This window comes from Homo sapiens, chromosome 4, assembly GCF_000001405.40.
Source record: "Homo sapiens chromosome 4, GRCh38.p14 Primary Assembly".
In the NCBI taxonomy this organism is placed as follows: Eukaryota; Metazoa; Chordata; class Mammalia; order Primates; family Hominidae; genus Homo; species Homo sapiens.
In genome coordinates this window covers 9,755,807-9,766,785 of record NC_000004.12, presented here as the reverse complement: position 1 = coordinate 9,766,785, position 10,979 = coordinate 9,755,807, and the positions used below count along the sequence as shown (strand labels likewise).

At 46.8% G+C, this 10,979-nt stretch overlaps 1 annotated feature.

Annotated features, from left to right (window-relative positions):
• Positions 1,508 to 1,557: a silencer, noted in NCBI's record as "silent region_15273". NCBI's record gives its function as "represses an Ori minimal core promoter by ATAC-STARR-seq in GM12878 lymphoblastoid cells {active_cell/tissue: GM12878}" and the evidence as "EXISTENCE:reporter gene assay evidence [ECO:0000049][PMID:35858748]".

Below are 10,979 nucleotides of genomic sequence, written 5' to 3'. Positions count from 1 at the left end.
AGATGGGAGCTCAAGAAGCCAAGGGGCTTGCTCTGTAACCAGGTCACCCGGCTTCATCCTGGGCAAACTGAGATCACAGTCCCCGACTCTCATTTGCCCTCTTCTCTGCTTTTGGGATTTTTTTTTTTCTTTTATACTCTTTTTTGTTTTTTTCTGGGTACATAGTAGGTGCATATATATGTGAGGTACATGAGATGTTTTGATACAGACATGCACTGTGAAATAAGCACATCATGGAGAATGGGGTGTCCATCCCTGAAGGATTTATCCTTTCTTTTTTTTTTTGAGACGGAGTCTAGCTCTGTCGCCCAGGCTGGAGTGCAATGGCATAATCTCTGCATCTCTGCTCACTGCAAGCTCCGCCCCCCGGGTTCATGACATTCTCCTGCCTCAGCCTCCCGAGCAGCATTTTTTGTATTTTCAGTACAGATGGGGTTTCACAGTGTTCACCAGGATGCTCTCGATCTCCTGACCTCATGATCCACCCGCCTCGGCCTCCCAAAGTGCTGGGATTACAGGCATGAGCCACCGCACCCAGCGCATTTATCCTTTCTAATACGAACAATCCAATTACACTCTTTTAGTTATTTGTAAATGTACTATTAAGTTATTATTGACTACAGTCATCCTGCTGTGTGATCAAACAGTACATCTTATTCATTCTTTCTAACATCATCCCCACCTGCCCTCAGCCCCCCACTCCTCTTCCCAGCCTCTGGTAACCACCCTTCTACTCTCTAGCTCCATGAGTTCAACTGTTTTGATTTTTAGATCCCACAAATCAGTGAGAACATGCAATGTGTGTCTTTCTGTGTCTGGCTTGTTTCACTTAACATAATGACCTCCCATTCCATCCATGCCATTTTCTGCTTTTGTACAAGGCACAAAAAGCAGGGCAATGGGACTCAATGGATTTTCCACGCTGCTCTAACACACTACTGCAAACCTGGTGGCTTCAAAGAATGCCGATGTATTCTCTCATAGTTCTGGAGGTCACAAATCCAAAACGAGTCTTCCTGGACTAAAATTGAAGTGTTGCTAGGGCCCTTGGTAGAAACCCTAGAGGAGAATCCATTCCTTGCCTCTTTGGTGGCTGCTGGCATTGTGAATTGTGGCCACATCACTCCAATCTCTGCCTCCACTGTCACATCACCTTCTCTTCTGTAGTCAAATCTCCTCAGCCTCCCTCTTCACTTATAAGGACATTTTGTGATTACATTGCGTATCCATACAGATAACCCATGATAGAATCCCCATTGCAAATCTTTGAAGTAATCTCATCCACAGAGTCTCTTCTGCCAACATCCCGTTCACTAGTTCTGGAGGTTAGGACATGGACATCTTTGGGGGTTATCATTCCCCCTTTCACAGGCTATTTGGGCTGTATACAAACCAGAGATCCGAGAATCATCTTGGCGGCCTCACTCTGTAAGCAGGGAAACGTCTGTCTGTGCTCAGCAGCAATCCCTGGAGGCAGAGACTGGAAATTACACCTGCAACCGTAGTAAGAGCTTGCCATGGGCTGGCATGGGTGCCATACCTGGAGCTGTACATGCATCCCCCACGATTCTCTCAGTGGCCCTTTGAGGTCGCTCTCTTACTGCCACCAAGGTGCAGGGTGGTGAAGGCAACTCAGAGCAGAGACCTGGCCTCGAAGCCTCGTCTCCCTGGAGAATGACCAATCATCAAGAATCTGTGAACACAAGCACGAGAGGCAATCTGAGCCCTTCCCCAAAGCCTCACTGTCCATTCACTCTGGCTGGAATCCTGCCCTACCTTCAGGGCCCAGCTTAGGGACAAGGAGCAACCACATCCTACCTCTGAGGACACAGCCCTCACGTATTTCTGCAATCCGTCTGCAGCTGATGGTCTGAATGAGCATCGTGTCATCATAGCACTTGTAAATTGTTGGAGGGGCTCCTCCACACTGAGGGAATGTGCTTGTTCAGGGAAGGGCACACTCCCCCATTTCTCCCCGAACCACACTTCTGCCATGGGACCCTGCGGACACAAGGGCCCTCCCCTTGCCCTGTTGCTTCATGTGGCTTAGTCTTGCTTAACAAACGTGCTAGGTGTGGAGGCTGAGGCCTGCGTGTAGTGTTGAGGGCAAGCAGGGACCACCTGGAAATGCTGAAAGCATTCTGTTAAAGTGGTGCCTTCCCATCATGATTGCTAGGCCCATGATGAGAAGAAATTGCAGGAAAGCACAACCTGGACCATAGAAAGGACAGATCAGTGGGTGGGGCTTTATGTGCTTATCCCTCCCACCACCCTGCTGCAGACCCCGCCCACACTCAAGCTTAGCCCCTGTGGCTTAGAACCCAAGGGCACTTCTGAGCTGAGGCCGACTTCAGGGAATACTAGTTAGGACAGGTCAGCTGCAAGTAACAAACAAACAAACAAAATACACAGGAAACTCTGACCCTCAGGGCCAAATCCAGCCCACCACCTATTTTTATAAATAAAGTTTTATTGGACCATAGGTGTACCCATTCATTTACACATTGTCTATGGTTGTTTTTAGGGTCGTAGTGTCCACAGAGATCTCATGGCACACCCAGAGCCTAAAATGTTTTCCACGTGGCCCTTTATGGAAAAAGTTCACCCACCCCTGGCTTGAACAATGACAACATTGAATTATCTGCCATCACAAGAACTCCAGAGGAAGGCGGCTCCAGGGGCACACGGAGGCTCAGCAACATCCTTGAGGCCCCAGGCTCCTGTTCCCTCCTCGGCAGGTGGGCCTTTCTTCTCGGGCTGGTTGCTTCATGGTCACAAGCCGGCTGCCACAGTTCCAGGCTTGACTGCCTCTCACAAGCACATTCAAGCCATGAGGAAGGGCAGGCTCCCTCCTCACCTCTTCTTATTTAGGGATCAAAATCCTTCCAGGGTGGCGCAACAGAGTCCCCTTACCTCTCAGTGTTTAGACCAGGGGTCTGTAAGCATTTCCTATAAAGGAACAGATAGTATTTTAGGTTGGTCGGGTCGTGTATGATCCCTGCAGCATATTCTCTCTCTCTCTGTGTGTGTGTGTGTGTGTGTGTGTGTGTGTGTGTGTGTGTGTGAGAGAGAGAGAGAGAGAGAGAGAGATGACCCTTTCAAAATGTACACTCCATTCTTCTCATGAGCCATAGTTTGTCAATGCCTGGTCTGGCACTCTTCACATGCCCACTCCGTGCCCATCTCCAGCAAAGGGTAGCGGACTTACCCTTGATATCAAAGGTCCTTGGCTTAGACCAATCACCCAAAACTGATGTTTCAGAGATGCCTGCCGGAGGAGTGTGGGCAGCTGTTACTGATGTCAGAAAAACAGTTTGAGTGCCACTTCATTCTCCGGCAGGAAGGAGTGATTGGCTGCTGGTCCTCCCCTGTCCGAGGAGGAAGATAGAATCCACCCACCAAGCTGTGGAGAGGTGGACCCCACAGATTCCCTTGCAAGCCACATCTGAGAGTGAGCAGAGGGAAGAAACTCAAGCGTTTGGAGTCCTCTTTCTCAACAACCAGGCTTAAAGCGCCATCTTGTGTCTTGAAGGGGAAAGGAGGTCAGGACGTGTGTGCTAGAAGCAGGCAGAGGATCTTCACCAAAGTCTCAAAAACTAAAGAAGGAAACATGGCGATCCTCAGGGCCTGCAGAGGCCCCGGCCCTTCCCATGCCCTACAATAGTCTGGTCTCATTTACTTCTTGTACTAGCAGGGCAGTTGCTGCCAAGGCCCTCAAACAGGAGGGCCATACTTTAGTTACCTCATCTAGTTGTTTAGAGAGGTAGGCCGGTGGCCTCAGCCAGGGCCCCACAGTTTGGGTGAAAAGTCCAGCTGCCATCTTTTCTCTCTCTGACACATAAAATAGAAAAGGCTTTGTCAGATCGGGTAGCCCCAGGGCTGGGGCTGCCAGAAGTTTTTCCTTTAACTCAGGAAAGACTTGCTGTTGTTGGGATCCCCATTCCAAAGGTTCCCGGACCCCGCCCACTTTGGGACCTCATACAAAGGCTTGGCTAATACTTCAAAGTTTGGGATCCACTGTCTACAAAACCCCACAACTCCTAAGAATTCTCTCACCTGCTTTCTGCCCTTAGGCTCCGGTAGATTGCAAATGACCTGCTTTCTTTCTGATCCTGGGCTGCCTTCCGTCCCCTGTCAGATAGTAAATCCCAAGTAAGGTACCTGCTGTCGGCAGATCTGAGCTTTCTTCTTGGACACCTTCTACCCACAGTCCTCCAGGTGCCGGTGTAGGGCATCTGTTCCCTTGGCACACCCGACTGCCGTGGGGTGTCCCAGCAGAAGGTCATCAACCTACTGGAGCAACACGCAGCCTAGGTCTCTGCTGGGAAACTTCTGGAGGTCTCGAGCCAATGCCTCCCCAAAGATGGTGGGGGGAGTTCTTGAACCCTTGGGGAAGCCCGGTCCAAGTGTACTGAGTAGTGACACCTGACTCCGGATCTTCCCACTGAAAGGCAAACAGCTTCTGCCTCTCGGGGGCTAATCTGATAGGAAAGAAAGCATCTTTCAGGTCAAAGCAGGTGAACCAGCTGTCCTCAGCTGGCAGCAACCCCAACAATGTGGACGGGTTAGGTACTGTTGGAGGGAAAGTCAGTGTAGCTTGATGAAGCAAGCGCAAATCCTGTACCGGCCGGTAGTCCTTGGTCCGTGGCTTGGGAACAGGCAGGAGGGGAGTGTTCCACGCAGACTGACAAGGAACAATAATTCCAAAAGTTCTTAGGTGCTTGAGACGGACCTGGATACCTTGAAGGGCTTCTCTGGGGACCGGGTCCTGTTTTTGCCTAACCGGCTGGGCCCCAGTCTTAACTGGCCAATCCCGGAGGGTTGTCTTCCGCCCGTACTCTTGGCCACCGCTTAGCCAGAGCTGGTCTTCTCTCTTGGCCTGGCTCAGTTCAGAAAAGTCTCCATTCCTCCTCTCGGGGACCATAAGGGTCATAATGACTCCCGTTCTGGGTAACTTTGGCAGCAAAGAGCCGTGCTCTGTCAAAGAGATAGTGGCTCTCAGCTTGCTGAGCAAGTCCCTTCCCATAAAGGGCAAGGGACAGTCAGGCATGTACCAAAACTGATGAATGACTTTATGTCCTCCTACAGTACGAGTCCGAGGCAAGCAGAAAGCTTGCTTTGCTGAAACCCCCATGGCTCCGATGATGTCAATCATCTTTTTGGATAAGGGGGCAACCGGGGCAGTTACTAGCGAATGTTCAGCACCTCTATTTACAAGAAAATCAATGTCTCTACCCCGGACTGTCATTCTGACCAGAGGCTCTTGGGGACGCTTGAGCCTGGTCTCCCTCAGTCCAAGAACCCTTCTGCCAGGTTGAGCAGGGCCCCTTCCTCCTCGTCCGGGGCCTCCTGCTCTGAGTCACCTTGTTTTCTTTTGAGCTGAGGGCACTTGTTCTTCCACCGTCTTATTTCTTTACTATAAACACACTGGGTACGCTGCAAACTCTGACAGCCAAGCTGAGTTTCTTTCCCGGGGCCCCCCTTCCCTTGCCTCTTTGGGGGTCCCCTCTGATTGCTGCAGCTAACAACCAGGTCGGTGTTTCTCCAGGCCTGACCTCCATTCTCTTTGCCGTTTTCCTTAGGGCTTGCTGCATCCCTGTTTACAAACACCTGGCTAGCTATTTCTAGTAATTGTGGTGGATTCATCCCTGCAAGCCCAGCCTCTTTCTGCAGTTTTCTTCTCATGTCTTCTGCATTTTGACGGACTAAAACCATGTGAATCATGCACTGATTTCAGGGCTATCGGGATCAGAGGGAGTATACATACGATAGGCCTCATGCAGTCTCTTGTAGAATTGTGCTGCACTTTCTTCTTTTCCCTGAATGACCTCAGAGAGCTTGCTAACGTTTGTGGCCTTCTGAGCTCCCCTCATTAATCCTTCCAAGAGAGCTTCCCTGTCTCGGTTTAGCCTTTGCATATCCTCTGTTTCATGTGGGTCCAACTGGGGGTCGGTTCCTGGTAAATGGGTCCTTCCATACTCTTGGGGGTTTTGCTAATCAGCTGGTGCATGTTCCTCTAGCCACTTAGTTGCTGCTTGCAGGACTCTCCGCCTTTCTTTGCTGTTAAAGAGGAACATGAGCAACTGGTGCCAATCAGCCCAGGTGTGGTTGTGGGTCTGGATAATAGTTTGGAGCAAATCAATTAGAGCTTGTGGCTTTTTGGTATAGGGCGGTGTATTGTTTTTGCAGTTGAGAAGGTTGACGGAGGTGAAGGGCTGGTACCCAAAAACGCCTCTCCACCACGTGACCATCCTCATCTATCCCTGTATACCGCTGCTCTCTCAGGGGCGTTTGTATCCCCGTTTTGGGTCGTAAACGAGCTGCCGAGGGAGGGGTGGAATGTGACTTACCGAAATTAATAATCTCAATTATTAATTGACACTAATAATGATCAATATTAATAACTGATCATATAATTTTTAAAATCAATACTGATAATAATGATAATTAATATTAATAGTTATACTAACGATAACAATAAATGATTAGTATTAATGATTAATGATGCCTGATATTAATAACTGATGTTGATCTTATTCATTAGAAAACAGTAATATTAGCTCCTAATAATTAATATTAATATTAATAATTAATAGCAATATCACTATTAATAATAAAAAAGATATCAGTAATTAATGTTACTTCAATCAATCATAAGTGATGTTGGTAATAAAACAATAATTAATATGAATATTAATAACTAATATTAAAAGTGTCATTAGTATTAAAATTAATTTTAATCATGCATAATCATACCTTGAAAATAATCATTAATGATTAATAACGTTATACTATTAATTAACATTCCCATTCATAATTATTAATAAGACTGATCTTTAATAATTCATAATATTATTACTGCTAATACCGCAGGGGGTGTATACCTACCTGTGATATTGTTCTTAATATCCAGGGATGGAGAGCACGATATTAGTTTTCATATCGCAGTAGGTGTACACTCACCCTGTGACACCAATCCTAATACCCAGCGGGTAGAGTATGAAATGACTGCCAACATAGCAACGAACGTACAGCCACCTGGTGATATTGCTCCTAATATTCACAGAAGAGTATGATATTACTCCCAATATCGCAGGGAGTGTAAACCTCTTCTGTGATATTGTTCCTAGTATCCCGAGGGGGAGAGGATGATAATAATTCCAGCATCACAGGCTGTGTTCACCCAGCCTGTGAAATTGTTATTAATATCCTGAAAGGGAGAGGATGATATTGCTGCCCATAATAGATAGATATGACTCCCCATAATAGAGCAGGAGGTGTACACCCACCCTGTGATATGCTTCCTAATATTCAGAGGCCGAGAGGCTGATATTGTTCCCAATATCGCAGGAACTGTACACCCCCCTGTGAAATTGTCCTTAATAATATTCCAAGGCGGAGGGATTGATACGAACACATAGATGGCAGAAAGTGGACACCCCCCAGGGATATCGTTCCCATGATCCTGGAGGGAAGAGGAGGATATTACTTTCAATATCAGAGAAGGTGGACACGCCCCCACTGATATTGTTTTTAATTCCAACGTGGGAGAGGAGGATATGACAAGTGATATCACAGAACTAGAAACATTTCTGTGATACTGTTCTCAATATTCAGGGAGGAAGATGATGATATCACATCCAATACAGACGGGTGCACACCCTCTTTACACCGAGGGTGTACACCTGTCTGTAAAACAGTTCATAATCCCCAGAGCGGGAGATGATATAACTCATGATATGGTAAACAGGCTGTGAGTCCACCGCGGATCCTAAGAGCCAGGGGGACAAGAGGGGCTGGCTCTTACTTCCCGCATCGCGGGGGGTGCCTCACCCCCCTGCGATGGGGGTCCTAAGAGGCAGGGGGGGCAAGAGGGGCTGGCTCTTACTCCCCGCGTCGCGGGGGGTGCCTCACCCCCCTGCGATGTGGATCAGCATATCCAGGGGGCGATAGGGGGGTGATATGTCTCCCCGCGTCGCTAGTGGCGTCTACCCCTCTTCGATGTGGATCATCATATCCAGGGGTGGAGAGGGGGGTGATATTACTCCTCGCATGGGGGGGTCGCCTGCCTCCCTGCGATGTGGATCGTCATATCCAGCGGGGGAGTGGTCGGTGCTATTTGTCTGCGAATCGCGGGGGCACCCGCCTCCATGCGATGTGTGTCTTCATATCCAGAGGGGGGAGATGGGGGTGATATTATTCCCAGCATCGAGGGGTGCGCCTGCACCCCTGAGATGTGGATGGTAATATCCAGGGGTGGGTGTGGAGGGTGATATTACTCCCCGCATCGCGGGGGACGCCCGCCCCCCTGCGATGTGGATCGTAATATCCAGGGGTGGAGCGGGGTTGATATTCCTCCCCGATTTTTCCTAGGATCTTTTCTGTACTGCGACCCTCGGTTCACACCCTGTGACATTATCTTCCATATTCTAGCAAGATGAGGCTGCTAAAGTCGCAGGGGGTATTCACCCTTCAGTATTATTCGTAATTTTGTAAGGGAATGTTAAACGTGATGTCACAGGACTCTGCACACTGTCTTGCTATTCCCAATATCCTAGCTTTACCTTAATAATAATGTCACATTGTGTGTACACCTTGTGGTGTTATTCTCATTTTCCTAAGGGAAGGTTGCTTTTATTGTCACACGGGGTAAGTTCCTTTTGTTATTATTCATAATGTCCTAGAGGGATGTCACCCCTTATGTCACAGGGTTTGTACACCTTGTCAAATTACTCGTATTATCCTCATAAGATGTCACTCCTCATATCACAGAGGGTGTACACTCTGTGATATTGTCGTCATATTCTAGGGAAATGTTACTTTTATTGTCACAGAGGATGTACACCTTGTGAAATTATTCGTTATAATTTTGTGGGGTGTTACCCCTAATGTCACATGGCGTGTACACACAGTGATGTTACTTGCAATATGCTATGGAAGTGTTGCTTGTAATTCACAGGTCCTGTACACCCTTTAATATTCTTCGTAATCTTCTAGGAAAACGTTACTGCTAATGTCACAGGGCGTGTAGAACCTGTGATAAAATTCCTAATATCCTAGCGGGAGTTCACTACTAATTTCACAATGCGTGGACACCCTTTGATATTATTCGTATTGTCCTGAAGAGATGTTACTACTGATGTCCCAATGCAGGTACATTCTCTGATCTTATTCGTTATATCCTTGGGGGATGTTACCTCTAATGTCACACGGGGTGTACTCCCTGTGTTCTATTTCGTAATATCCTAGGGCAATTTTACTGTTAATGACACAGGGGGTGTACACATTGTGATATTATTTGTGATATTCTAGAAAGATATTACTCCTAATGTCACAGGGCTGTACACCCTGTGATAGTATTCATAATTTCCCAGGGGTTTATTCTCCTATTCGAACAGACGATAACACCCTGTGACATTATTCGTAATATTCTAGCGAGATGATACTCCTCATGTCACAGGGGGTGTACAACCTGTTTTATTATTCTTACCATTCTAGGGAGATGTTACTCCTAATGTCACAGGGATGTACACCCTGTGATATTATTCATAGTGTACCAGAGGGATATTAGCACTAATGTCACGATGCGTGTACACCTTGTGATATTATTTGTCATATCCTAATGTCACAGGGGGTGTGTTCCGTGTGATATTCTTCCTAACATCCTAGACGGATATTGCTCCTATTGTCACAGGGTGTGTACACCTTGTCACCTCATTCACAATATCCTAAAACTACGCTATTCCTCAGGTCACAGGGGGTGTTCACCCTGTGATATTTTTCATCATAGTTTTGTGGGATGTTACTCCTAAAGTCACACGGGGTGTACACAGAGTCACACAGTGATATGAGTTGTAATATTCTATAGACATGTTACTCGTAAATCACAGGGGCTGTACCTCCTGTGATATTATTCATAATGTTCTAGGGAAATGTTGCTACTATTGTCACGGGGGTGTACACCCTGTGATATGACTCGTCATATCCCAGCGGGATGTTACTACTGATGTCCCAATTCCTGTACACCCTGTGATACTATTTGTAATATCCTAAAGAGATGTTACTACTAAGGTCACAATGCATGTGCACCCTCTGATATTATTCATTGTATCCTCAGGGGGTGTTACTCTTAATGTCACACGGGCTGTACTCCTTGTCATATTCGTAATATCCAAGGGGGATGTTATTTTTAATGTCACGGGGGGTGACATTATGCATTAAGAATGTGTATTCAAGGCCTGTGACACTATTCCTAATATCCTAGGGGCATGCTCTTCCGAATGTCACATGGGGTGTACACCATGTGTGTACACCTGCTGTGGTATTATTCGTAATATCCTAGGGGAATGTTACTCCTGATGACACAGGCGGTGTACACCATGTGTGTACCCCTCCTGTGTTATTATTCATAATATCCTAGGGGGATGTTTCTTTTAATGTCACAAAGAGTGTACAAAACGTCACAGGAGGTGTACACGTTGTGACGTTAGCTGTAATACCCTAGAAGGATGTTACTCCTAATATGTCACAGGGGTGTACACGCTTTGATGTTATTTATAATCTCATAGAGAGACAAGACTTCAAATATCACAGTGGATGTACACACATAATGTATATCCTGTGATAGTATTCATAATATCCTAGGGAGACACAACTCCTGATATCACAGTGCGTGTACCCCGTGTGTGTACACCCTTGATATGAGTCATAATATCCAGGGTAAATATTACTCCTTATATCACACAGTGTGCACACCCTGTGATATTTTTCATCATACTTAGGGAGATATTGCTTCTAATATCACAGTGGGTGTACCCCATGTGTGTATACTCTGTGACAGTATATTCTATATCCTAGAGAGCTATTACTCGTAATGTCACAGTGGGTGTTCACCCTGTGATGTCATTCTTATTTGACCTTGCTGCCTTTTTTAACCCACCCTACAAAAGGAATGGAACAGATAAGAAGATATTGAGATT